Below are 27,940 nucleotides of genomic sequence, written 5' to 3'. Positions count from 1 at the left end.
GGCCAACATGGGGAAACTGCATCTCTACTAAGAACACCAAAACATCAGCCGGGTGTGGTGGCGGGTGCCTGTTATCTCAGCTACTTTGGAGGCTGAGGCAAAAGAATCTTTTGAACCCAGGAGCCGGAGGTTGCAGTGAGCCGAGATCGTGCCATTGCACTCCAGCCTGGGTGACAGGGCAGGACTCCATCTCAAAAAAAAAAAAAAAAAAAAAAAAAATTGACTAATAGTGTAGAAAAGTGCAATTATGAGGTCACAACTACAGTTATGTTCGTACTGGCTAAAAGCGATTATCAGATTTCTTTTTTTTTTTTTTTGAGACAGAGTTCCACTCTTGTTGCCCAGGCTGCAGTGCAATGATGCAATATCAGCTCACCACAACCTATGCCTCCTGGGTTGAAGCAATTCTCCTGCCTCAGCCTCCTCAGTAGCTGGGATTACAGGCATTCACCACCACACTCGATAATTTTGTATTTTTAGTAGAGATGGGGTTTCTCCTGTTGGTTAAGTTGGTCTTGAACTCCTAGCCTCAGGTGATCCACCCACCTCGGCCTCCCAAAGTGCTAGGATTACAGGCGAGAGCCACCGCGCTCGGTCCACTATCATCTGATAGTGGACCAATAGGACCAATAGGATGTTCCTGCAGATGGGGCCTTTTAGAGAATTTGGTCATGGGTGTTGACTAATTGTGAATAGGACTAAGGCTTTTAATATCTTTCTTTCTTTTTCTCTCTTTCACTTTCTCTTTCTCTCTCTCTCTATTTCTTTTGTGATGGAGTCTTGCTCTGTCACCCAGGCTGGAGTGCAGTGGTACAGTCTCGGCTCACTGCAACTTTGCCTCCCGGGTTCAAGTGATTCTCCTGCCTCAGCCTCCCAAGTAGCTGGGACTATAGGCATGCACCACCACGCACAGAAAATTTTTATATTATTAGTAGCAATGGGGTTTCACCATGTTGGCCAGGATGGTCTCGATCTTTTGACTTCGTGATCTGCACTGCGCGGCCTCCCAAAGTGCTGGGATTACAGGCATGAGCCACCGTGCCCCGCCTCTTTATTTATTTTTGATTCAGAGTTTCACTGTTGTTGCCCAGGCTGGAGAGCAATGGTATGATCTCGGCTCACCATAACCTCCGCCTCCCAGATTCAAGTGAGTCTCCTGTCTCAGCCACCCGAGTAGCTGGGATTACAGGCATGTGCCACCACTCCCGGCTAATTTTGTAGTTTTAGTAGAGATGTGGTTTCTCCATGTTGGTCAGGCTGGTCTCAAACTCCCGACCTCATGTGATTTGGCTGTCTCAGCCTCCCAAAGTGCTGGGATTACACTCATGAGCCAGCTCGTCCAGCCAGGACTAGTGATTTATAAAAAGAGACAGTAAAGAGCTCATTGCCTGCTCCTCTTTCCCCCATGTCAGGACACAGCAGGAAGACGGCTGGGCTAAACCACGAAGAAGGCTCTCACCAGGAGCCAATCTAGCTGACATCTTGCTCTTGGATTTCCCACTTTCCAGATTAATGAGAAATAAATTTCTATGTCTTAAGCTTTCCAGTTCCAGCTATTTCTTTTTTTGTCTGTTTTTGAGACTGAGTCATGCTTCATCACCCAGGCTGGAGTGCAGTGGCACGATTCTCCTACCTAAAGAGAGTCTCGTGCCTCAGCCTCGTGAGTAGCTGGGACTACAGACACATGCCACCATGCCTGGCTAATTTTTTTGTTTTGTTTTGTGGCAAACGGAATCTAACTCTGTCATACAGGCTGGAGTGCAGTGGCGTGATCATGGCTCACTGCACCATCCACCTCCCAGGTTCAAGTGATTCTCCCATCTCAGCCTCTCAAGAAGCTGGGATTACAGGTGCATACCAACATGCCCAGCTAATTTTTGTGTTTTTACTAGATATGGGGTTTCACCATGTTGGCCAGGCTGGTCTCGAACTTCTGACCTCAAGTGATCCACCCATCTCGGCCTCCCAAAATATTGGGATTATAGGCGTGAGCCATCACGACCATCCAGTTTTTTTTAATTTAGTAGATTCAAGGTTTCATTATGTTTGCCCGACTGGTCTCAAACTCCTGACCTCAAGCCATCTACCCACCTCAGCCTTTCAAAGTGCTGGAAATAGAGGCATAAGCCACTGCGGCTGGCCAGTCTAAGCTATTTCTAACAGAACGATGAAATGAGTGAGATAGGAAAAGGGGCATCTCATCATCAACATCACCAAAGGCCGACAAATCTTATTAAACAAAGGAAGTTTAGAGTCTGTCCTGTAAAACTTATAATATATGAAGCCATCTAATAATATTCACTTGTTTTAAAAAGCAGGTGGATGAATCACAAGTAGAAACTCCACCTCTACTAAAAATACAAAAATTAGCCAGGCTTGCGCCAGGCATAATGGGCAGGTGGATCAAGAGATCAGCAGTTCAAGACCAGCCAGGACAGTATGGTGAAACACTGTCTCCACTAAAAAAATACAAACAAGTATTAGCCGGGCATGGTGGTGAACATCTGTAATTTCAGCTACTCAGAAGGCTGAGGTAGGAGATTGCCTGACCTGGGAGGTGGAGGTTGCACTAAGCTGAAATTGCACCACTGCACTCCAGCCTGGGTGACAGAGCAATACTCCATCTTAAAAAAAAAAAAAAAAAAAAAAAGAAACTGTACTTTTAATAGAGATGTGGTTTCACCATGTTGGCCAGGCTGGTCTCGAACTCCTGACCTCAGGTGATTCACCCACCTCAGCCTTCCAAAGTGCTGGGATTACAGGCATGGGCCACCGCACCCAGCCTGGTAGTATTGTTCATAATAGTAAAGAGAAAAAACCAACCCAGATATCCATCGACAGATAAATACATGAGGAAAATGTGGTATACACATAAAATGGAGTATTATTCAGCCTTAAAAACAAACTCGGATGGGGCCAGGGGTGGTGGCTCATGACTGTAATCCCAGCAGTTTGGAATCCGAGGCAAGTGAATCACGTCAGGCCAGGCTATCAAAAGAAGCCTAGCCAACATGGTGAAACTGCCATCTGTAATAGAACTACCAAAAATTACTAGGTTGTGGTGACACATGCCTGTAATCCCAGCCACTCAAGAGGCTGAGGCAGGAGAATCACTTGAATCCAATAGGTGGAGGGTGCAGTGAGCCAAGATCAAGCCACTGCACTCAAGCCAGGGAAACAGAGTGAGACTCTGACTCAAAAAAAAAAACAACATAGAAACTAACAAGTTGAAAGCCACTGTGTCTGAAGGAAATGACAGTAGAACTAAACCATGGAAACCTCATTCAACCTCACAAGCTCCCTAAATAAGATTGATGAAAACCATATCTCTTACAGGGTTGACCCTACAACAAACTGAACATAGGTTTTCTTGTCAAAAATGAACAATGGGCCAGGCGCAGTGGCTCACGCCTGTAATCCCAGCACTTTGGGAGGTCGAGGAGAGTGGATCACAAGGTCAGGAGATCGAGAGCATCTTGGCTAACACGGTGAAACCCCGTCTCTACTAAAAATACAAAAAAAAACTAGCTGGGCATGGTGGCGGGCACCTGTAATCCCAGCTACTCAGGAGGCTGAGGCAGAAGAATGGCTTGAACCCGGGAGGCGGAGCTTACAGTGAGCCGAGATCGTGCCACTGCAGTCGGCCTGGGTGAAAGAGCGAGACTGTCTCAAAAACAAAAACAAAAAACAAACAAACAAACAAAAAATGAACAATGACATATATTGGTGTGAAAAATGTGAAATGAACAAGAGTTCAGTCAACAGCCTCATACATATGAGGCTGTGAGCCCAAATGATGTCCCCGCTAGGAGAAATTTCAACACCACTGACTGCTGCTTAGAGAAGATGATCATTAGTTTATGGGATGAACATTGTCACAGTGCCAGTGAGAGACGCTTCTGTGATGCTCCTCAAAAACCAGAATGAGCTGGGCATGGTGGCTCACGCCTGTAATCCCAGCACTTTGGGAGGCCAAGGTGGGCGGATCACCTGAGGTCGGGAGTTAGAGACGAGCCTGACCAACATGGAGAAACCCCATCTCTACTAAAAATACAAAGTTAGCTGGGCGTGGTGGCGCATGCCTATAATCCCAGCCCCTCGGGAGGCTGAGGCAGGAGAATCACTTGAACCCGGAAGGTGGAGGTTATGATGAGCCGATATACCATTGCTCTCCAGCCTGGGAAACAAGAGCAAAGATCCATCTCAAACCAAACAAACAATCAAACAAAAAAACCACGTATGGGGCAAAATCACAAAAGAGAATACAAAACCAGGAAGAGCCAAGACAGACAAGAGCAGACTCCTCATGTCTGCAGGGACATTTTCCTCACCCACAGCCTCCAGGTTCCTGTAGTTCTCCAACATCACTTCCCTGTACAAAGCCCTCTGCGCAGGGTTCAGGAATTTCCACTCTGCCAATGAGAATTCTATAGCCACATCCCTGAAAGTCAAGCGTCCCTAAAATGAAACACACATTTCAACAAAACATTATGGAGGATTGAGTTATCACCTTCACAGGAAATGAGAAAAGAGAAAATAAGTATTTCTTTGATCAAAGACTGTGTTGTGACAAAACCACGTTAAGGTATTTTTGAATTTTTTTTCTCAATAGTTGCATTTTATTGTACTTTTCCTTGAAAGATTTTAAGATCCCATAAGTCGCTATGGAAGTCTCGATTTTATGGACAATATAAAAACTATATAAATAAAAAGGAAACACAGGGCTGGGCATGGTGGTTCACGCTTGTAATACCAATGCTTCGGGAGGCCAAGGTGGGCAGATTATTTGAGTTCAAGAGTTCGAGACCACCCTGGCCAATGTGGTGGAAACCTGTCTCCACTAAAAATATAAAAATTAGACGGGCATTGTGGCAGGCTCCTGTAATCCCAGCTACACAGGAGGCTGAGGCAGGAGAATCACTTGAAGTCAGGAGATGGAGGCCGCAGTGAGCCAAGATCGCACCACTGCCCTCCATCCTGGGCAACAGACTGACACTCCATGTTAAAAAAAAAAAGCAATGCCAGGCGGTGGCTCTCACCTGTAATCCCAACATTTTGGGAGACCAATGTGGGCAGATAATGTGGTCAAGAAATCGAGACCATCCTGGCCAACATGGCAAAACCATGTCTCTAATAAAAATACAAAAATTAGCTGGGTGTCGTGGTGTGGACCTGTACTCCCAGCTACTCAAGAGGCTGAGGCAGGAGGATCGCTTGAATCCGGGAGGCGGAGGTTGCAGTGAGCTGAGATTGCACCACTGCACTTTAGCCTGGCAACAGAGCAAGACTCCATCTCAAAAAAAAAAAAAAAAGCAAACACAGGGTTTTCTCTACAGACATGTCAGATATTATGTTCAACATACGAGCTGATATTTAGTCTCTAGATGAGCTAAGATACAAGTGGTGTTTCAGAGAGGACAAAGTCAAATGGCTTTCAAAGAAAAGTCCGAATCTAAAAACTATCATGATTGGTCAGTCTCAGTGGCTCATGCCTGTAATCCCAGCACTTGGGAGACCGAGGTGAGTGGATCACGAGGTCAGGAATTCAAGACCAGCCTGGGAACATGCTGAAACCATATCTCTATAAAAATACAAAAAACTTAGCCAGGCGTGACAGCGAATGCCTGTAATCCCAGATACTCCAGAGGTTGAGGCAAAAGAATTGCTTGAAGCCGGAAGGCAGAGGTTGCAGTGAGCTGAGATCCCGCCACTGCAATACAACCTGGGCAACAGAGAGAGACTCCATCTCAAAAAAAGTGCAGAGTCCAGCCGGGCTGGCTGTCTCCCATTTGGAATGCCAGCAATTTGGGAGGCCAAGAGGGGAGGATCACTGGAGGCCAGGATATCAAGGCTGTAGCAAGCTATGATTGCATTACTGCACTCCAGCCTGGACAACAAAATAAAAATACAATATAAAAAATAAGGCCAGACATGGTGGTGCACACCTTTAATCCCAGCACCTGGGGAGTCCAAGACAGGCAGATCACAAGGTCAGGAGTTTGAGACCAGCCTAAAGAACATAATGAAACCCTGTCCCAACTAAAAGTACAAAAACTAGCTGGGTGTGGTGGTGCATCCTGTAGTCCCAGCAACTCAGGAGGCTGAGGCAGAAGAATTGCTTGAAACCCAGAGGGAGAGGATGCAGTGAGCTGAGATCCTGACATTGCACTCCAGCTTTGGTGACTGAGCGAGACTCCATCTTAAAATACATACATACATATGGTGACCCATGCCTATCACTCAGGCTCTTTGGGAGTCTAAAGGAGGGATTAGTTGAGCCCAGGAGTTTGAGGCTGCTGTAAACTCTGAATTGTGCCATTGTACTCCAGAACTAAGCCACAGAGCGACACCTTCTCTCTCCCTCTCTTTTTCTTTTGAGACAGAGTCTTGCTCCGTTTCCCAGGCTGGAGTGCAGTGGCAAAATTTCAGTGTATGGTAACCTCCACCTCCTGGGCTCAAGCGATTCTCCTGCCTCCGTCTCCTAAGTAGCTGAGATTACAGGCATGCACCGCCACACACAGCTAATTTTTGTATTTTTAGTAGAGATGGGGTTTCACCATGTTGGCCAGGCTGGTCTTGAACTCCTGACCTCAAGTGATCTTCCTGCCTTGGCCTCCCAAAGTGCTGTGATTACAAGTGTGAGCCATCCCACCTGGACCAACATCCTGTCTCTTAAAACAAAACAAAAAGTTTGGAGACAGAGACATCTTGATCTACTAGTGTGGCTTCAAATGCATTACCAAATGAGATACAAAATACCTCTCCTTATTCGTCTCCTTTCCCAGAATTTGCCACATACCTGGGCACATTAACATACGTATTTCATATGCAGTTTCTCTAATCTGGTCCACAAAGAGCTGACATCCAGATATGGCCCCTGAACAATCCAGGCTGCCCAGCAGCAATGACATCAACGGGCCCACACCCCATGTTAATCCATGTCTGGGTGTGAGCCCTTCCCAGGACCATGCCCAGTGGAGCCTCTTCCCAAGTTCATGTCACTGGGTCACAGGAGATGGAATTCTTTTGAGCAAATGAGAGGAACTGAGGGCAGGCATGGGTGAGTGCAAGCAAACGTGTCAGGCAAAATGCTTCAGACTCAGAAAAGACTGGCTGTTACAATACATTACTACAATACAATATAATACTACTACACTTCAGAAAGGAAAGAGACAGATTAATCCACAGAGGAATATCACTTCACCTGAGGAAGAGCCATGCCTGGCTCCTTTCCTTTCCTCTTCTGAGCTGCTTCCTCATGTAACATGAGTCTTTAGAAATCAATCCTGTATGTGGAAGAAAAATAAGACTTCAGGTTAGATATGACTCACTCCCTTCCTGTGATAAAAACACAGGAACGGGGAGACATCACCCTGTACAAAGAAGCCCCCCCCACTGCCCACTGCACCAGAGATCATGCAGACATAAGAAAGTCCCACAGGAAGACCTATAAGTGTATGTTTGACCCTGGTCTTCAGATCTCGCCCCCCTCCTGGAGCAGCCACCACACACGAGGCAGCAGTGGGGAGCTGGGCTGGACTGATCTCTCCTTCAGGGCACAGACCCATCCCTGATCAAACCGCATCCAGAGGACAGCCCCTCACCTCTCTGTGGATCACAGGCTGAGCTCAGCCCTCAGAAATGCAGGACTCAGAGCTTCCATGCTCAATGCTGCACACAGATGACAAGCACCTGCGCCACTGCAGGTATTACTGAGGGTGGGTTCCATCCCGTCAGAATAAGAATCCCTGCTAAAGCGGCACAAAAGCTCTATTTGCAAAATGCTCCGCACTCTAATGTGAAGCCAGGGTTGAGCTCCACTCAGAGGGGGCGAGCCCAGCACAGCCCCACGTTCTGGCTCTGCCCTCCGCTTGGGGCCAAGTTCTCACCAGGATCCAGACAGTGGATGACAAAGGCACAAAAATAATCACAAAGAGGCCAGACGCAGGGGCTCTCGCCTATAATCCCAGCACTTTGGGAGGCCGAGGCGGCTGGATCACAGGGTCAGGACTTCAAGACCAGACTGGCCAACATGGCGAAATGCTTTCTCTACTAAAAGTACAAAAATTAGCTGGGCATGGTAGCGGGTGCCCATAATCCCAGCTATTCAGGAGGCTGAGGCAGGAGAATTGCTTGAAGCCAGGAGACAGAGGTTGCAGTGAGCCGAGATCCCACCACTGCACTCCAGCCTGGGTGACAGAGCAAGACTCTATCTCAAAAAAAAAAAAAAAAAAAGTCACACAAAACAGTCAATGTGGACCAGAGGAAAATAAATCTTGGGGCCCAAAATCACTAAGCAAAAGGGAAAAGTCAAGCTGGGAACTGCTTAGGGAACCAGACTCCCCTTCTATTCAAAGTCACCCCTCTGCTCCCTGACATACATGCCTATCTGAGTACCTCCTTTGAAAGGCTAATCAAACTCAAAAGAAAGACCCAGCATAGTGGCTCAGGACTGTAATCCCAGCACTGTGGGAGGCCGAGGAAGGCAGATCACTTGGGGTCAAGAGGTCGACACCGTCCCAGCCAACATGGTGAAAAGACATCTCTACTAAAAATACAAAAATGATCTGGGCATCTACTTGGGAAGCTGAGGGAGGAGAATCACTTGAACCCAGGAGGGAGAGGTTGCAGTGAGCCAAGATCGTGCCACTGCACTCCAGCCTGGGTGACAAAATGGGACTTCATCTCAAAAAAAAAAAAAAAAGGAAACTCAAAAGATTGCAACCATTTGTGCCTCAGTTCTCTGTGACCTAAAAGCCCCTTCCCTGCTTCAAGTCTTCCTGCCTTTGTTTAAAGTTCTCCCACCTTCCCAGACCAAACCAACGTACTTCTTACATATATTGATTGATGTCTCATGTCTCCATAAAATGTATAAAATTAAGCTCTGCGCCGACCACCTTGGGCAAAATAAACTTTCTAAATTAACTGAGATCTCTGTAAGATTTTCTGATTTCACAGCCGCAGTGTCGAATGAGGGCTGTGGGAGATCACAAAGGAGACCCGGAGAAGATGATATCAGAACAAGGACCTAGGAAAGAAAGGCTGCTTGTCACTTGCAGCTGAGGGGAAGAGCATCCTAGAGAGAGGGACAGCTCAAGTGAAGGCCCTGAGACAGGAGCAACCTCAGCCCCAGGAAAAGGAAAGCGGCCCGTGGGGCTGGAACAGTGGAAGAGAGGAGGGCACAGGTAGGAGATGAGGTCAGAGAGGTCCTGGGGGCACAGACCCATAGGGACATGGTCTTCAAACATTTTTCTCCCACAACCCAAAAGCATTTTGAAAGTCGATTGTGATCCCAGCTACTCGGGAGTCTGAGGCAGGAGAATCCCTTGATCCCAGGAGACAGAGGTTGCAGTGAGCTGATATCATGGCATTGCACTCCAGCCTCAGCCATAAGAGTGAAAATTCATCTCAAAAAAAAAAAAACGATTTGGAAGTGATGTATCTTCTCACTCTTTTCACATATACATGTACGTTTCTCTATGTATTATAAATTACAACACTTACAAATAATGTAATGTATTTCCCATATTTAAAATATGTGCTGTCAAGTTCAGCTAAGTTTTCGGAAGTACACATTCACTCTCATCTGAGATGTGCAGACTGCAAGGGAATGTGTTTGGGGATTTAGGAAGTCACTTATGGACAGCTGAAGGTGGGGATGCCTGTTTGATGTCCCAGGAGAGAGCTGAGGAGACTACTGGACACAGGATTGTAGAGCTCAGGGTTGAGGCCTGCAGGGGACATGGAGTCGTGTAGGTGGGTGAAAGCTGTGAGATGATAACCTTCAAGGTGATTTGAGTCTAATCCCCTGTTTTTGCTCATCTTGGAGAACTGGAATTCATTTGAAATTTGAGTTAAAAATGACCATTATCCTCTCCCAGAAGAAAAGTCACACACTGTATTTTGTCAGTCGTTTCAGGGGTCAGTGTCACTGACTGAGCTTTTCTGATCTTATTCCTCACCTCTATGTTACAGGTGGGCTCACTAAGGCTCACAGCGGGAGACATTTCACCAAGTTATCCTGAGAAGCTCTGAGGTGAGGAGGAAGGAGGTGTGGCTGATTCCAATGTGATGGCCTGAAAGGGCCAATAGGCTGCCTTGGTCTTCCTCCTCTAGAAAATTCCAAGACCAGCCAGGAATGGTGACCCACCCTTGAAATCCCAACACTTTGGGTAGTTGAGGCAGGCCAATCACTTGAGCCAAGAAGTCTGAGACCAACACGGGCAACATAGTAAACCCCATCTCTAACAAAAATACAAAAAATTAGCCAGGCATCGTGGCGTGCATCTGTGGTTCCAGCTACTTGGGAGGCTGACGCAAGATCACTTGAGCCCGGGAGGCAGAGGTTGCAGTGATCCAAGATTGTTCCACTGCATTCCAGCCTGGGTGATAGGGTGACACTCTGTCTTACAAAAAAAAAAAAAAAAAGCGGCCAGGCGAGGTGGCTCATTCCTGTAATCCCATCATTTTGGCAGGCCAAAGTGGGCAAATCACAAGGTCAGGAGTTCAAGACCATCCTGGCCAATATGGTGACATCACGTCTCTACTAAAAATACACAAATTACCATTCTGGCTAACACGGTGAATGCCCGTCTCTACTAAAAATGCAAAAAATTCTCTGGGTGTGGTGGTGGGTGCCTGTAGTCCCAGCTACTCCGGAGGCTGAGGCAGGAGAATGGCATGAACCAAGGAGGCAGAGCTTGCAGTGAGAGGAGATTGCGCCACTGCACTCCCTCCTGGGCGACAGAGTGAGACTCCATCTCAAAAAAAAAAAAAAAAAAAACACACATTAGCCAGGCGTGGTGGTGGGCACCTGTAGTCTCTGCTACTCGGGAGGCTGAGGCAAAAGAATTGCTTGAACCCGAGAGGTGGAGGTTGCAGAGAGCTGAGATCATGTCACTGCACTCCAGCCTGGGCGACAGAGCGAGACTCCATCTCAAAGAAAAACAAACAAACAAAAATTCCAGGACCATCTTATATACCTGAGCAAAGGAAACTTCTTTCGAGTTGTAAGGTTCTGATGGCATCAATCCCAAACATATCATTACTCACTCCCAGAAAAATGTGCAAAACACACCATGTGCACACACAGCAATAGGTGTTTAAAACACTGAAAAAGAGGCAGCTGTAGAAATGAGATCTGAGCAAATGCTTTTCTCATGAACACATGGGCTCTGCTAAACCAAGGTTCCAAGTCAATCCAGCCCATCCTTCAACATCTGTAGAGAATATTATGGACCAGAGGGACTTGAGGGGGACACTTACTTAGAAGCTCACAGATAACCATTTTTTCAGATGACATAAGAAAAGAAAATGGAATAGGCTACTTTAACTAAATTTTCATGTTAGGATAAAGAAAAAAGGTCCTTGATATCATTATCAAGTACACACTGAAACAACCTAACATCATATATCACATAGTAGAAAATGTTTTCGATATATGATAAAGACTAGAAAGCAAACAGACCTCAATGTAAACTGAACACAATTTCACAGAGAAACAATTTTAAAATGTTCAAAAAATATAGATGTAATGAAATCTTGGCTCAAAGGAGAAATAGTTGAAAATATATCATACTTTGAAAACAATAAGGCCGGGCATGGTGACTCACACCTATAATCCCAGCACTTTGGGAGGCCAGGGCAGGAAGACCACCACAAGGTTAGCAGTTCGAGACCTGCCTGGCCAACATGGAGAAACTATGTCTCTACCAAAAATACTAAAATTAGCAGGGCATAGTGGTGCACAAGCACTTTGGGAGGCCAAGGTGGGCGGATCATGAAGTCAGGAGTTTGAGACCAGCCTGGCCAACATGCTGAAATCTGTCTCTACTAAAAGTACAAACATTAGCTGGGAGGGTGGTGGGCGTCTGTAATCCCAGCTACTCAGGAGGCTGAGGCAGGAGAATCGCTTGACCCTGGGAGGCGGAGGTTGCAGTGAGACGAAATCGTGCCACTGCACTCCAGCCTGGGTGACAGAGAGTCTCAACAAATAAATATATATATCTAAACAATAGCCAGGCCTCGTGGGGCGTGCCTGTGGCCCCAGCTACTCCGGAGGCTGAGGTGGGAAAATCACTTGAGCCCAGGAGGTTGCTACGGCACTGAGATGTGATCCTGCCACTGCACTCCAGCCTGGACAACAGCAAGAGTGTCTCAAAAAAATAAAAATTAAAGGCTGGGCGCGGCGGCTCATGCCTGTAATCCCAGCACCTTGGGAAGCTGAAGCAGGAGGATCACCTGAGGTCAGGTGTTCAAGACCAGCCTGACCAAGATGGAGAAACCCCATTTCTACTGAAAATACAAAATTAGCCGGCCATGGTGCTGCGTGCCTGTAATCATAACTACTTAGGAGGCTGAGGCAGGAGAATCACATGAACCCCAGAGGCGAAGGTTGCAGTGACCGAGATTGCGCCATTGCACTCCAGCCTGGGTGACAGAGCGAGACTCTGTCTCAAATAAATAAATAAATAACAACTAATGAGGCTGAGCGCGGTGGCTCACGCCTGTAATCCCAGCACTTTGGGAGGCTGAGGCGGGCGGATCACGAGGTCAGGAGATCGAGACCATCCTGGCTAACATGGTGACACCCCGTCTCTACTAAAAATACAAAAAATTAGCTGGGCGCGGTGGCGGGCGCATGTAGTCCCAGCTACTCGGGAGGCTGAGGCAGGAGAATGGCGTGAACCCGGGAGGCGGAGCTTGCAGTGAGCCGAGATTGCGCCACTGCACTCCAGCCTGGGTGACAGAGCGAGACTCTGTCTCAAATAAATAAATAAATAAATAACAACAAATGAGGCCGAGCGTGGTGGCTCATGCCTGTAATCGCAGCACTTTGGGAGGCCGACGAGGGTGGATCACGAGGTCATGAGTTCAAGAACCATCTTGCCAAGATGGTGAATCCTGTCTCTACTAAAAATACAAAAATCAGACAGGTGTGGTTGTGGGCGCCTATAATCCCAGCTGCTCGGGAGGCTGAGGCAGAGAATTCCTTGAACCCGGGAGGCAGAGGTTACAGTGAGTCCAGATCGCTCCACTCCACTCCAGCCTGCGTGACAGAGAGAGACTCCATCTCAAAAAGAAAAACAAAAAGACAACTAAACTAATTAAATGAGGAGGAACTAGAAAAAAGGAAACCAATTACAAAAAGAGAAAAAAAGCACTTTAATACTCCTTTCATCACGTTCCATATAGTAACAGAGTCAGTCACTTCTTACCCTACTTCTCTTCCCCCACTCCCGACCCCAGCCATGAAAAGGGAAGAGGGTGATCCACAACGAATGAGTCAAGTCACTGTCCTCTGGCTGAAGAGGGGTTGCAGAGGGAAGCTGCCTCTGACGCCATCATTATAAAATGCACCACACTTAGACACAGGAGTTTGGCAACTCTCATTCTCATCTGTATAATTTAAACTAATTTTAAATTTGTTACATTATAAACAGAGAAAACAACGTGTCATCACTTCATCATCACATCCAATCAACTCACCGCTCATCTGCACTCAGGGTCCCCCTTCATCTTCATTACTGCTTCCCTCCATCATTTTATACATAGCCCTTTTTCACTTTCTCTCTCCATCTGTTTCTTTTCTGCATTTCCCCCTGGGCTTCTGCTCATTTTATACCCCTCTCCTGTTTTGCTCCATTCTTTTTTGGTTTTTTTGAGACAGAGATTCGCTCTTATTGCCCACGCTGAAGTACAATGGTGCGATCTCAGCTCACCACAACCTCTGCCTCCTGGGTTCAAGTGATTCTCCTGCCTCGGCCTCCTAATCCAAAATTAGCGGGGCATGGTGGCGCATGCCTGTAATCCCAGCTACTCAGGGGGTAGTATCGCAGGAGAATCGCTTCAACTCTAAAGGCACAGAGAGTCATTAGCCAAGATCGTGCCCTTGCACTCCAGCCTGGGCAACAGGAGTGAAACTCCACCTCAAAAAACTACTACTACTAATAATAATTAGTATGTAGGCTGGGCGCGGTGGCTCATCCCTGTAATCCCAGTACTTTGCAAGGCCAAGACAGGAGGAACCTTTGAGCCCAGGATTTTGAGACCACCCCGGGAAACATACTGAAACCCTGTTTCTACAAAAAAACAAACAAAGAAAAAAAAAACAACTAGCTGGGCTTGGTGTCTCACACCAGTGGTCTCAGCTACTCAGGAGACTGAGGGAGGAGGATTGCTTGAGCCTAGGAGGTCGAGGCTTCAGTTAGAGTAGATAACACCATTGTACTCCTGCCTGGGCAATAGGGCCAGACCCTGTCTCAAAATATTAATTAATTAATTAAAAGTATTACATAATAACAGAAAGTGATTTTTTTTTCCACATCACTGCCCCACTTCCTACCCCACCCTGGGAAAAGGGAAGAGAGTGACTCACAACTGAATGTCACTGCCCGCGGGCTGAATAGGGATTCCAAGTGGAAGCTAACCTCTGATACCAAGATTTATAGAATGTACATGACTCACAGATAGGACTTTTAAAATTCTCAAACTCATCTGTATAATTTAGACAAGTTATTAGATTATATAGACAGAAGTCAACATGTCACAACTAATCATATCCAATGAACTCACACACTCATCTGTATCCAAAGTCCCCAACCCTTTTTTTCTTTTAAGACAGGGTCTTGCTCTTTTGACCAGGCTGGAGTACAGTGGCATGATCTCTGCTCACAGCAGCCTGGAGCTCCTGGGCTCAAGTGATCCTCCAGCCTCTGCCTACAGAGTAGCTGAAATTACAGGTCTACACTATCATGCCCCGTTAAATTTTTTTTTCTTTTTTTTTTGACAGCGATGGCGGGTCTCACTATTTTGCCTAGGCTAGTCTTGAACTCCTGGACTCAAGCAATCCCTCTGCCTCAGTCTCCTAAAGTGCTGGGATTACAGGCTTGAGCCACTGCGCCCAGCCACTCTTTCTTCATTACTGTGCTTCCCTCCCTAATTCTTTACACATCTCTCATTCTCCCCTTCTCTCTAGCTCTTGTTTTCTTGTCTTTTTCCCTGGGATTCTGCTCATTTTGTACCCCTCTCCTCTCCTGCTATTTATTCCATTCTTCCCTCTATTACTTCTCTTCCACCTCTTCTGCTCCATCCTCACAACTTATTTAACCACTTTTTTTTTTTGGACGGAGTTTTGCTCTTGTTGCCCAGGCTGGAGTGAAATGGTGAGATCTCGGCTCACCACAACCTCCGCCTCCCAGGTTCAAGCGATTCTCCAGCTTCAGCCTCCCTAATAGCTGGCGTTACAGGCATGTGCAACCGCGCCCGGCTAATTTTGCATTTTTAGTAGGGACGGGGTTTCTCCATGTTGGACAGGCTGGTCTCGAACTCGGGACCTCAGGTGATCTGCCCGCTTCAGCCTCCAAAACTGCTGGGATTACAGGCATAAGCCACCGCGCCCGGTCCTTATTTAACCTCTTGTTGCCCTTCCCCCCAATCTTTCGATCGTCCTCAATCTCTATATATTACCGCCTCTTATCTCTGCGTCTCCTCTGCTCTCCCTGTTAAATTCTCTCTTCCCTGTTATACCCCCCTGTCCCCACTCTCTAGCACCCCAGATCCCCCGGTGTCCTCCCTGCTGTGTTTCTCCCTCGGTTCTCCTTGCCACCAGCAAAACTCTGCGGGTTTGGAGTAAGACTCCTGCATCGCGGAGAAGCGCATTTTCCGGGGGGTGGAACTGGGCAGGCAAGAATATCCCGGGTCAAAGGACAAGCCCCTGGGACCTGCCCAATGCTGGTTCAGGGGAAGCGGTGACTGCAGAGGGAAGACTACGGGAGCAGCAGGGCCCGGCACGAGGAGGGACGTAGGGGGCGACGGCGCCTTAAGACAAGGGTGACACCTGCAGGATTCCAGGACCAGGCAGAAGACGCAGCCTCCCCAGGACTGGGCCCGGGGCGCTGTGCTCCAGGGGCCGAGCCTGGGAGGCGCCCAGGGCGGGAATCCACCTCGCGGGTGAGGACTTTAAGAAGCACGGGGCGGGAGAGTCAGAAAAAGGTTTTGAGCAGGAAAATTACGCTATAGAAGTGTATACACTGCCCTACAGCAGAAAGACCAGGGACTGGACCAGCCTCCGGACGACTTCAAACCCAAAAGGAAGCAACTCCCGGACTCTTACGGGGACATCTCAATTTGCTCTATGTGAATGAAGACAAGCGAGAATTTCCAGGTCCGTGGGGACCCAAAGTCCTAGGGACAGAAGCGCCGGGGACCTGGGAAGCGCAGACTTAACACAACACAGAGCGAAACTCACATGCCGCGGTAGGACCTTCACTCCAAGCGATACGCCACCTGGTTTGCGCGCGCAGGACAGAAGCCAGGCCTGGGCGGGGCCCGCGAACAGTTTGGCGGGTCCTGGGCGGGGTAGGGTCGGAGCGCGAGGCGGAGAGACCTTGCCCTTTAGAACCGGCAGAGGGCGGGGCCGGGGCGGGACCTGTGCATCACTTGGCCTGGCAGGCAGCTCCTCTGTTTTTTGGGTGTTTGGAGGGGAGAGCGGCCAGGAAGGTTGAGGCATGATTCAAAACCCTGGAATTGTCTGGAACGGGCATGCAAACTAAAATGTGAAATGCAAAGCCCTGCCTGGGAGGAACATATGATTTCATGCTGATGGCCCACAGAACAGAACAGAAATCCTCTCTCTTTCTATTCGCCATTCATTCAGGAGGGAGAGTCCACCCTGTGCTCAGCTTCAGAGACTTCCCTAGGGCCTCCGCCTGGGATGCGGGACTGAGTGCTCAGGAAAGGGAGAAGTGAGGTCACCACCTGCTGCTTAAACACAGCAGGGATGCGGGCACGAGGCGGAAGCCTGAGGTCCCAGCTACTCAGGAAGCAGCGGCCAGAGAATCGCTGAACCTGGGGGTCCAGACCAGCCTGGTGACAAAGTAACACCCCCTCTCACAGGGCTCCCTTCCTCGTCTCTCCCTCCCTTTTTTTTTTTTTTTTTTTTTTTTTTTTTTTTTGAGACAGAATCTCTCTCTGTCGCCCAGGCTGGAGTGCAGTGGCACGGTTTTGGCTAACTGCAAGCTCCAACTTCCGGGTTCACGCCATTCTCCTGCCTCAGCCTTTGGAGTAACGGATTTGAGGCGACCACCACGAAGCCCAGCTAATTTTTTGTATTTTTAGCAGAGATGGGGTTTCACCGTGTTAGCCAGGATGGTCTCGATCTCCTGACTTCGTGATCCGCCCTCCTCAGCCTCCCAAACTGCTTGGCTTACAGATGTGAGCCACCCCACACGGCCTTGTTTTTTGTTTGTTTTACCGTTTTTAAATAAAATTTTTCATGGTGTAACATAGGGATCCAACATTATTCTTTTCCATGTGGATATCCAGTTAGTTGTCCCAGTACGTTTGTTAAAGAGATCTATTACTTTTTCTTTTTTTACTTTTTTCTTTTATTTTATTTTTAAGACAGTATTTCTCTGTGGCCCATGCTGGGGTGCAGTTGCGAGATCGTGGCTCACTGCAGCCTCTGCCTACTGGGTGGAAGCTATTCTTCTGCCTCAGCCTTTGGAGTATCTGGTATTACAAGCGCACACGACCATGCCCAGCTAACTTTCGTATTTTTGCATATTTTCTAAATAAATGTCCTAAGAAAAGGGATGAAAGGAAAGAAAATCTCTTTCTTTATTTTCAAAGGAGGAATTAAACCTCTCATTTATTGACTTATTTGCGATAGGGTGTAGCTCACTCACCCAAGCTGGAGTGTGGTGGCAAAAACAGGGCTCACTGCAGCCTTCAACTCCCTGGCTCAAGTAATCTTCCCACCTTTTTCATCATGCATTTGGAAGAGATATCTACAAAATATAAACACCAATACGTTTCCAATTAAGTCCAGATGGTAAATCATACTGAAATGTGTAAATATGACACACAAAAAAATACTTATTTTAAACTTTCCAAACATGATCTTCAAAGTTTAGGAATACAAAAGGAGTAAGATTCTTTAATATAAATAAAGGGCGATTACATGTCCTTCAAATCATTTCTATGGAAGCCTGTATCCAATGTCATGACAAAACTCTGACAGGGCACAAACATGTGTAAGCCTAAAGTCAGGAGTGTTTTTCCACTGTGACCCTAAATTCTATCAGTTTGCAAAAAAACATATCACTGTCACATCAATGAGAAGAAAAGTATATATTCTTCATAGTTACAGAATATCTACTGTATACAAATAAATGCTAAAAGACCATACAATATACTATATTGGTAAATAATCCACAAGAAGCTTATGTAAGAGTAACCAAAATCAATGGAAATTCTGTATTGTCAAATAATCATAGCACAGAGAAGATAAGAAAAGATTCCAAAAATCAGCCAGGCGTGGTGGCGGTCACCTGTAGTCCCAGCTACTCGGGAGGCTGAGGCACAAGAATCCCTTGAACCTGGGAGGCGGAGATTGCAGTGAGCCCAGATTGTGCCACTGCACTCCAGCCTGGGTGACAGAGCAAGACTCCGTCTCAAAAAAAAAAAAAAATGTTAATACAATTTTTTTCTGAATACCTGTCTTAAAATTACCTATATCCATGCAGAACAGGGACTTACTGAATTTAACTAGTGCAGTGTGTCAGTTCCATTACATATCATATACTGAAAAGCCATATGTGAAATCTTAAATATTAATCAGTAAACTATTCTAACCCATGATAAAACCAGCAAGCAAATAAGTACATTTATACAGCCTGCAGAATTCTAAACAATTCTCTCTCAAGAAAAAAGCCACAACTTCTACTTAAAATCAGCACACACTGTAAGAACTGAAATACATGTTAAGATCAGTACCTTCTGATGTATGCGTTCAAGTAAATACACAGTATTAAAAGGAATAAGAACTGACTAACAGTGTCAGAGGGTGCAATTGTGATGTCACAGGTACAGTTACATAACACCAGGCAATAGAGCAATTTTATATATATGTATTGCCCTTAGTTATCTAGTGAACTGTGCGTAAAATATAAGACATAGAATGTGTACTGGGAAAATTTATAAACTGAGATCACAGAAAACATTGTATAAAACAAATTGCACAATAAAAACATCAAAAACCTGATGCAGGCTCCCTGGTCTGAATGTTTATATTGGCCAAAAGGGATGTTCAGAGTTCTTATTGTCCAATAGGATGTTTCTGCAGATGGTGTCTGTGAGAGAATTTGGTCATGGGTGGCTGGGCGTGGTGGCTCACGCCTGTAATCCCAGCACTTTGGGAGGCCGAGGCGGGCAGATCACGAGGTCAGGAGATAGAGATCATCCTGGCTACCAAGGTGAAACCCCATCTCTACTAAAAGTACAAAAAAATTAGCCGGGATTGGTGGCGGGCGCCTGTAGTCCCAGCTACTCGGGAGGCTGAGGCAGGAGAATGGCGTGAACCCGGGAGGCAGAGCTTGCAGTGAGCCAAGATCGCACCACTACACTTCAGGCTGGGCAACACAGTGAGAAAAAAAAAAAAGAAGAATTTCTCCATGGGTGTTGACTATACGTGAATAGGAGCAGTGCTTTTATTTTTATTATTTATTTATTTATTTAATTTTTGAGACGGAGTATCCCTCTTGTTGCCCAGGCTGGAGTGCAATGGCGTGACCTTGGCTCACCGCAACCTTTGCCTCCCAGGTTCAAGCAATTAGCCTGCCTCAGCCTCCAGAGTAGCTGGGATTACAGGCATGCGCCACCACACCCAGCTAATTTTGTAGTTTTATAGAGACGAGGTTTCTCTATATTGGTCAGGCTGATCTCCAACCCCCGACGTCAGGTGATTCGCCCGCATCAGCCTTCCAAAGTGCTGGCGTTACAAGTGTGAGCCACAGCACATGGCCAGGACTACTGCTTTTATAAAGGGAGACAAAGAGTTGATTGCTATTTCTTTTTTTGTTTTTTGAGACCAAGTCATGCTCTGTCACTCAGGCTGCACTATTGTGGCATGATTCTCCTGCCTAAAGAGATTCTCCTGCCTCAGCCTCCGGAGTAGATGGGACTACAGACGCATGCCACCACCCTCGGCTACTTTTTCTTTTTTTAGGGGGGGCAGACGGAGTCTCACTCTGTCACCCAGGCTGGAGGGCAGTGGTGCGATCGTGGCTCACTGCAACCTCTGCCTTCCAGCCGGGTCCAAGTAATTCTCCTGCCTCAGCCTCTGGAGTAGCTGAAATTAGAGGCGTGTGTAAACATGGCCAGCTAATTTTTGTATTTTTGGTAGAGACGGGGTTTCACCATGTAGGCCAGGCAGGTAGTCTCCAACTCATGACCTTCAGTGATTTGCTCCCAAAGTGCTGGGATTACAGGCATGAGCCACCATGCCCAGCTTTGATATTCCTTACTTTTTCTTCATTTTTTTTTTTTTCAGACGGCGTCTAAATCTGTTACCCAGGCTGGTGTGCAGTGACGCAATCTCGGCTCACTGCAACCTCTGCCTCCTGGGTTCAAGCAATTTTCCTGCCTCAGCCTCCCGAGTAGCTGGGATTACAGGAGTCTGCCACCACGCCTGGCTAATTTTGGTATTTTTGTTTGTTTGTTTTGAGATGGAGTCTTGCTCTGTCGCCCAGGCTGGAGTGCAGTGGCGCAATCTCGGCTCACTGCAAGCTCCGCCTACCGGGTTCACGCCATTCTCCTGCCTCAGCCTCCTGAGTAGCTGGGACTACAGGAGCCCGCCACCACGCCCGGCTAATTTTTTGTATTTTTTAGTAGAGACTGGGTTTCACCGTGTTAGCCAGGATGGAAATTTTGGTATTTTTTTAGTAGAGATTGAGTTTCACTGTGTTGGCCAGGCTTGTCTCGAACTCCTGACCTCGTGATCCACCCACCTCTGTCTCCCAAAGTGCTGGGATTACAGGTGTGAGCCACCGCAGCCTAATGTCCCTTTTAAAAACTACTATGGGCTGGGCATGGTGGCTCATGCCTGTAATCCCAGCACTTTGGGAGGCCCAGGCAGCGGATCACTTGAGGATGGGAGTTAGAGACCAGCCTGGACCAACATGATGAAACCTCGTCTCTACTAAAAACACAAAATTAGCTGGGTGGGGTGGTGCAAGCCTGTAATCCCAGCTACTGAGGCTGAGGCAGTAGAATTGCTTGAAGCCGACAAGCGGAGTTTGTGGTGAGCTGACATCATGCCATCGCACTCCAGCCTGGGCAACAAGAGTAAAACTCCCTCTCAAAAAAAAAAAGGGGGGGGGGCTATGTAGGCCAGATGCCACGGGCCATCCCTGTAATCTGTAATCCCAGTAATTTGGGAGGCCAAGGCAGGAGGATCCTTTCAGCCCAGGATTTTGAGACCAGCCTGGGAAACATAGTGAAACCAAGTTTCTACAAAAAGAAAAAAATACGAAAACTAGCCGGGCTTGGTGGCTCATGGCTGTGGTCCCAGCTACTCAGAAGGCTGAGGTAGGAGGATCGCTTGAGCCCAAGAGGTCAAGGCTGCAGTTAGAGGAGATCACGCACTGCACTCCAGCCTGGGTGATAGAGCCGTACCCTGTCTCAAAATATTATTTAATTAAAAGTATTATGTAATAACAGACGGTGACTTTTTTCCCACTTCACTACCCCTTGCCCTCCTCATCCTAGGAAAAGGGAAGACAGTGATTCACAACTGAATAAGTCACTTCCCTCTGGCTGAATAGGGAATCCAAGTGGAACATAACCTCTGATGCCAAGATTTATAGAATGTACGTCTTATAGACACCAATTTTAAAATTCTCAATCTGATGTGTATAAACAAGTTTTTAGTTATTAGATTATATACATGGAAGTCAACATGTCACAACTAATCATATCCAATGAACTCACCCACTCATCTAAACCCAAAGTCTCTCGCCCTGTTGACCAGGCTGCAGTATAGTGGCATGATCTCAGCTCAGTGCAGCCTGGACCTCCTGGGCTCAAGTCATCCTCCCAGCTTGGCCACCAGAGCAGCTGGGAGTACAGGTTTATTTACTTATTATTATTATTTTTTTTTTGGCAGAGATGGTGTTCTCACTATGTTGCCCAGGCTGGTCTCGAAATCCTGGACTCAAGCAATCCACTTGCCTCATTCTCCTGAAGTGTGGAGATTACAGACTTGAGCCACTGCACCCAGCCCCTCTGTCTTCATTACTGCACTTCCCTCCCTAATTCTGTATATCTCTCTCATTCTCCCCTTCTCTCTCTAGCTCTTGTTTTCTTTTCTTTCTTCCTGGGATTCTGCTCTTCATTTTGTGCCCCTCTCCTCTTCTGCCGTTTATCCCTTTCTTCCCTCTCTATTCCTTCTCTTCCACCTCTTCTGCTCCATCCTCACAACTTATTTAACCTCTTATTGCTCCTTCTCCCCAATATTTCAATCATCCTCAATCTCTGTCTATTTCTGCCTCTTCTCCCATCTCTGTGCCTCCTCTGTTCTCCCTGTTAAATTCTCTCTTCCCTGATACACTCCCGTGTCCCGACCCTGTGGCACCCCAGATCCCCAGGTGTCCTCCCTGCTGTGTTTCTCCCTCTGTTCTCCTTGACACAAGCACCACTCTGCTCTGTCTGCCCTGGCTCCAAATCCTTCCCTCTCTCCCTCACTCTGATGAGCCTCCCTCTTCGCTGCCACTCTCCCTACCTTGCCGTCCTTCATGTCTCTGTATATCTAGCTTTTCTCTACATTTCTCCAGTTCCTTTTGTCCTCCTGCTTTCTTACTTTTTTCTGTGTTTTGTTTTTCACTTTTGCCATCTCTTGACAAAAGAAAGAGACAAAGTATAGAGAAAGAACAGTGGGCCCAGGGGACCGGCGCTCAGCATACGGAGGACCCACGACGGCACTGGTCTCTGAGTTCCCTCAGTATTTATTGATCACTATCTCTACCATCTCAGAGAGGGGGATGTGGCAGAACAATAGGGTAATAGTGGGGAAGGGTCAGCAGGAAAACTTGTGAACAAATGTCTCTGCATCATAAACAAGGTAAAGAAAAAAGTGCTGTGCCTTTGATGTGCATATACATAAACACCTCAATGCCTTAAAGAGCAGTATTGCTGCCCGCATGTCTCACCTCCAGCCCTAAGGCCGTTTTCTCCTATCTCAGTGAATAGAACATACAATCGGGTTTTACATGGAGACATTCCATTGCCCAGGGATGAGCAGGAGACAGATGCCTTCCTCTTATCTCAACTGCAAAGAGGCCTTCCTCTTTCACTAATCCTCCACAGCACAGACCATTTATGGGTGTCGGGCTGGGGGATGGTCGGGTCTTTCCCTTCCCACGAGGCCATATTTCAGACTGTCACATGGGGAGAAACCTTGGACAATACCTGGCTTTCCTAGGCAGAGGTCCTTGCAGCCTTCCACAGTGTTTTGTGTCCCCGGGTACTTGAGAATAGGGAGTGGTGATGACTTTTAACAAGCATACTGCCTTCAAGCATTTGCTTAACAAAGCACAACCTGCATAGCCCTAAATCCATTAAACCTTGAGTCAACACAGCACATTTCTGGGAGCACAGGGTTGGGGGTATGGTTACAGATTAACAGCATCTCAAGGCAGAAGAATTTTTCTTAGTACAGAACAAAAGGAAGTCTCTTATGTCTACTTCTTTCTACGTAGACACAGTAACAGTCTGATCTCTCTTTCCTTTCCCTACAGGACAGCCCCTCAACTCTCTGTGGATCACAGGCTGAGCTCAGCCCTCAGAAATGGAGGACACAGAGCTTCGATGCTCAATGCTGCGCACAGATGACAAGCACCTGCGCCACTGCAGGTATTACTGAGGGTGGGTTCCATCCCATCAGAATAAGAATCCCTGCTAAAGCGGCACAAAAGCTCTATTTGCAAAATGCTCTGCACTCTAATGTGAAGCCAGGGTTGAGCTCCACTCAGAGGGGGCGAGCCCAGCACAGCCCCACGTTCTGGCTCCGCCCTCCCCTTGGGGCCTTGTTCTTACTAGGATCCAGAGTGGATGACAAAAGCACAAAAGTAATCACACAGAACAAGCAAGATAGACCAGAGGTGGTGTGAGGGTTGGGCTGTGTGAAAGGAAAATAAATTTGGGGCCACCAGATCACTACACAAAAGGGAAAAGTCAAGCTAGGAACTGCTTAGGAAACCAGACTCGCCTTCCATTCAAAGTCCGACTCTCTTTTTGGACTCAGCCCGCCTGCACCCAGGTGAAATAAACAGCCATGTTGCTCACACAAAGTCTGTTTGGTGGTCTCTTCACATGGATGCGCATGAAATTTTGTGAAGAGACCACCAAACAGGCTTTGTTGGAGCAACATGGCTGTTTATTTCACCTGGGTGCAGGCGGGCTGAGTCCAAAAAGAGAGTCAGTGAAGGGAGATAGGGGTGGGGCCGTTTTATAGGATTTGGGTAGGTAAAGGAAAATTACAGTCAAAGGGGGGTTGTTCTCTGGCGGGCAGAGTGGGGGTCACAAGGTACTCAGTGGGGGAGCTTTTGAGCCAGGATGAGCCAGGAGAAGGAATTTCACAAGACAATGTCATCAGTTAAGGCAGGAACAGGCCATTTTCACTTCTTTTGTGGTGGAATGTCATCAGTTAAGGCAGGAACCGGCCATCTGGATGTGTATGTGCAGGTCACAGGGTATACGATGGCTTAGCTTGGGCTCAGAGGCCTGACACCCAGAGACACAATACACTGTGGAAGTCTGCAGGGACCTCTGCCTAGGAAAGCCAGGTATTGTCCAAAGTTTCTCCCCCATGTGATATTCTGAAATATGGCCTCGTGGGAAGGGAAAGACCTGACCATCCCCTAGCCCGACACCCGTAAAGGGTCTGTGCTGAGGAGGATTAGTGAAAGAGGAAGGAAGGCCTCTTTGCAGTTGAGATAAGAGGAAGGCATCTGTCTCCCACTCGTCCCTGGCAAAGGAATGTCTGGGTGTAAAGCCCAATTGTATATACCATCTACTGAGATAGGGGAAAACCGCCTTAGGGCTGGAGGTGAGACATGCTGGCAGCAATACTGCTCTTTAAGGCATTGAGGTGTTTATGTATATGCACATCAAAAGCACAGCACTTTTTCCTTTACCTTGTTTATGATGCAGAGACATTTGTTCACAAGTTTTCCTGCTGACCTCTCTACTATTACCCTATTGTCCTGCCACATTCCCCTCTCTGAGAAACGCCCAATAATGATTAATAAATACTAAGGGGACTCAGAGACTGGAGCCAGCGTGGGTCCTCCGTATGCTGAGCGTCGGTTCCCTGGGCCCGCTTTTCTTTCTCTATACTTTGTCTCTGTGTCTCTTTATTTTCTCAAGTCTCTCGTTCCACCTGATGAGAAACGCCCACAAGTGTGGAGGGGCAGGCCACCCCCTTCATATGAGTTCAAGTGAATACACAGCATTAAAAGCAATAAGAACTGACTAACAGTGTCGGAGGGTGCAATTATGATGTCACAAGTACAGTTACATAACACCAGGCAATAGAGCAATTTTATATATATGCATTGCCCTTAGTTACCTAGTTAACTGTGCGTAAAATATAAAACATAGAATGTGTACTGGGAAAATTTATAAACTGAGATCACAGAAAACATTGTATAAAACAAACTGCACAATAAAAACATCAAAAACCTGATGCAGGCTCCCTGGTCTGAATGTTTATATTGGCCAAAAGGGATGTTCAGAGTTCTTATTGTCCAATAGGATGTTCCTGCAGATGGTGCCTGTGAGAGAATTTGGTCATGCGTGTTGACTACACGTGAATAGGACTCGTGCTTTTATTTTTATTATTTATTTACGTATTTTTTGAGACGGAGTTTCCCTCTTGTTGCCGAGGCTGGAGTGCAATGGCGTGATCTTGGCTCACCACAACCTTTGCTTCCCGGGTTCAAGCAATTCTCCTGCCTCAGCCTCCTGAGTTGCTGGGATTACAGGCATGCGCCACCACACCCAGCTAATTTTGTAGTTTTAGTAGAGACAGGGTTTCTCCATGTTGGTCAGGCTGGTCTCGAACCACCAACTTCAGGTGATTTGCCTGCATCAGCCTTCCAAAGTGCTGGGATTACAAGTGTGAGCCACCGCGCACGGCCAGGACTACTGCTCATATAAAGGGAGACATTAAAGAGCTGATTGCTATTTCTTTTTCTGTTTTTTGAGACCAAGTCACACTCTATCACTCAGGCTGGAATGTAGTGGCATGATTCTCCTGCCTCAGCCTCCCAAGTAGATGGGACTACAGATGCATGCCACCATCCTTGGCTATTTTTTTTTTTTTTTTTTTGGGAGACAGAGTCTCACTCTGTCACCCAGGCTGCAGTGTGGTAGTGCCATCATGGCTCACTGCAACCTCTGCCTCCCAGCCAGGTCCAAGTAATTCTCCTGCCTCAGCCTCCGAAGTAGCTGAAATTAGAGGCATGTACCACCACACCCCGCTAATTTTTGTACTTTTGGTAGAGACAGGGTTTTACCATATAGGCCAGGCTGGTCTTGAACTCCTGACCTTCAGTGATTTGCTCCCTAAGTGCTGGGATTACAGGCATGAGCCACTACGCCCGGCTTTGATGTTCCTTTTTTAAAATTTTTTTTTCAATGCAGTCTAGCTCTGTTGCCCAGGCTGGTGTGCAGTGGCGCAACCTTGGCTCACTGCAACCTGTGCCTCCCAGGTTCAAGCAACTGTCCTGCCTCAGCCTCCCGAGTAGGTGGGATTACAGGCGTCTGCCACCACGCCCGGCTAAGTTTTGTATTTTTTTAGTAGAGATGGGGTTTCACTGTGTTGGCCACGCTGGTCTCGAACCCCTGACCTCGTGATCCACGTACCTCGGCCTCCCAAAGTGCTAGGATTACTGGCGTGAGCCACCGCGTCCTGATGTCCATTTTAAAATCTACTATGGGCTGGGCGTGGTGGCTTACGCCTGTAATCCCAGCACTTTGGGAGGCCCAGGTGGGGAGATCACCTGAGGTCGGGAATTAGAGACCAGTCTAGACCAACATGAAGAAACCCCGTCTCTACTAAAGACACAAAATTAGCCGGGCGTTGTGGTGCATGCCTGTAATCCCAGCTACTCCGGAGGCTGAGGCAGTGGAATTGCTTGAAGCTGGGAAACAGAGGTTGTGGCGAGCTGAGATCATACCATTGCACTCCAGCCTGGACAACAAGAGCAAAACTCTCTCTCAAAAAAAAGTTCTATGTAGGCCAGATGTGGTGGCTCATCCCTGTAATACCAGTAATTTTGGAGGCCAAGGCAGGAGGATCCTTTGAGCCCAGGATTTTGAGACCAGCCTGGGAAACATAGTGAAACCCCATTTCTACAAAAAGAATACAAAACCTAGCTGGTCTTGGTGGTTCACACCTGTGGTCCCAGCTACTCGGGAGGCTGAAGTAGGAGGATTGCTTGAGCCTAGCAGGTCAAGGCTGCAGTTAGAGGAAGTTACACCACTGCACTCCAGCCTGGGAGATAGAGCAGGCCTGTCTTAAAGAATTAATTTAATTTAAAGTATTATGTAATAACAGAAAGTGATTTTTTTCTCCCACTTCACTTCCCCATTTCCTACCCGACTCTGGGAAAAGGGAAGAGAGTGACACACAACTGCATAAGTCACTGTCCTTGGGCTGAATAGGGATTACAAGTGGAAGCTAACCTCTGATGCCAAGATTTATAGATTGTACATGTCTTATAAATAGGAAGTTTAAAATTCTCAATCTCATATGTATAATTTGAAACAAGTTTTAATTATTATATTATATACACAGAAGTCAACATGTCACAACTAATCTTATCCAATGTGAAAGGTGCTAGATGCTCAGGGCCCTTGTTCACCAGAAGCAAGGAGTCCCCTGACCACTTCTTCCAAACATATTCTTTTGTCTTTAATTCCCGCGTTCCTTCTCCTTTGTTCAGTCCAACAGGGTCCACGGCAACATGGCACCCATACACAGGGATAGGAGGACATGAAGGAAGAAGGTCTGCTGGAGCAGAAGAAGTGAAATTGATCAGATGAATGGGGACACCAGGAGGAGTCTGCCGCAGCCGATATAAGGTCAGTGCCCTAA

The 27,940-nt window shown here is 47.1% G+C and overlaps 1 protein-coding gene across 8 annotated transcripts in view, besides 6 other annotated features; it reads right to left on the bottom strand.

Annotated features, from left to right (window-relative positions):
* Positions 1-27,940, bottom strand: part of ZNF578 (zinc finger protein 578) — a 63,330-nt gene that overhangs the window by 7,770 nt on the left and 27,620 nt on the right. For 2 of the 8 annotated variants that reach the window (NM_001366182.2, XM_047438189.1), the window contains 2 exons: positions 7,205-7,286; positions 4,332-4,458 (listed from right to left, as the gene is read on the bottom strand). In NM_001366182.2, the coding sequence (NP_001353111.1) occupies positions 4,332-4,458; positions 7,205-7,267 (190 nt within the window). In that variant the 5' untranslated portion in view covers positions 7,268-7,286. Of the gene's footprint in view, positions 1-4,331; positions 4,459-7,204; positions 7,287-16,249; positions 16,310-17,687; positions 17,790-18,540; positions 18,756-18,777; positions 19,137-22,561; positions 22,671-27,940 lie in introns of those variants that run through there. The other 6 variants (XM_047438191.1, XM_047438190.1, XM_047438192.1 and 3 more) reach the window with 6 other exon arrangements.
* Positions 7,862-8,701: an enhancer, noted in NCBI's record as "OCT4-NANOG-H3K27ac-H3K4me1 hESC enhancer chr19:53003665-53004504 (GRCh37/hg19 assembly coordinates)". NCBI's record gives its function as "activates a minimal SCP1, AML or CMV promoter by ChIP-STARR-seq in naive H9 embryonic stem cells {active_cell/tissue: H9 hESC(naive)}" and the evidence as "EXISTENCE:reporter gene assay evidence [ECO:0000049][PMID:30033119]".
* Positions 14,721-15,358: an enhancer, noted in NCBI's record as "H3K27ac hESC enhancer chr19:52997008-52997645 (GRCh37/hg19 assembly coordinates)". NCBI's record gives its function as "activates a minimal SCP1, AML or CMV promoter by ChIP-STARR-seq in primed H9 embryonic stem cells {active_cell/tissue: H9 hESC(primed)}" and the evidence as "EXISTENCE:reporter gene assay evidence [ECO:0000049][PMID:30033119]".
* Positions 15,359-15,997: an enhancer, noted in NCBI's record as "H3K27ac hESC enhancer chr19:52996369-52997007 (GRCh37/hg19 assembly coordinates)". NCBI's record gives its function as "activates a minimal SCP1, AML or CMV promoter by ChIP-STARR-seq in primed H9 embryonic stem cells {active_cell/tissue: H9 hESC(primed)}" and the evidence as "EXISTENCE:reporter gene assay evidence [ECO:0000049][PMID:30033119]".
* Positions 20,676-21,645: an enhancer, noted in NCBI's record as "H3K27ac-H3K4me1 hESC enhancer chr19:52990721-52991690 (GRCh37/hg19 assembly coordinates)". NCBI's record gives its function as "activates a minimal SCP1, AML or CMV promoter by ChIP-STARR-seq in naive H9 embryonic stem cells {active_cell/tissue: H9 hESC(naive)}" and the evidence as "EXISTENCE:reporter gene assay evidence [ECO:0000049][PMID:30033119]".
* Positions 24,210-24,995: an enhancer, noted in NCBI's record as "OCT4-NANOG-H3K27ac hESC enhancer chr19:52987371-52988156 (GRCh37/hg19 assembly coordinates)". NCBI's record gives its function as "activates a minimal SCP1, AML or CMV promoter by ChIP-STARR-seq in primed H9 embryonic stem cells {active_cell/tissue: H9 hESC(primed)}" and the evidence as "EXISTENCE:reporter gene assay evidence [ECO:0000049][PMID:30033119]".
* Positions 24,996-25,782: an enhancer, noted in NCBI's record as "NANOG-H3K27ac hESC enhancer chr19:52986584-52987370 (GRCh37/hg19 assembly coordinates)". NCBI's record gives its function as "activates a minimal SCP1, AML or CMV promoter by ChIP-STARR-seq in primed H9 embryonic stem cells {active_cell/tissue: H9 hESC(primed)}" and the evidence as "EXISTENCE:reporter gene assay evidence [ECO:0000049][PMID:30033119]".

Source organism: Homo sapiens, chromosome 19 (assembly GCF_000001405.40).
Source record: "Homo sapiens chromosome 19, GRCh38.p14 Primary Assembly".
In the NCBI taxonomy this organism is placed as follows: Eukaryota; Metazoa; Chordata; class Mammalia; order Primates; family Hominidae; genus Homo; species Homo sapiens.
This window is presented reverse-complemented; position numbering and strand designations above follow the sequence as displayed.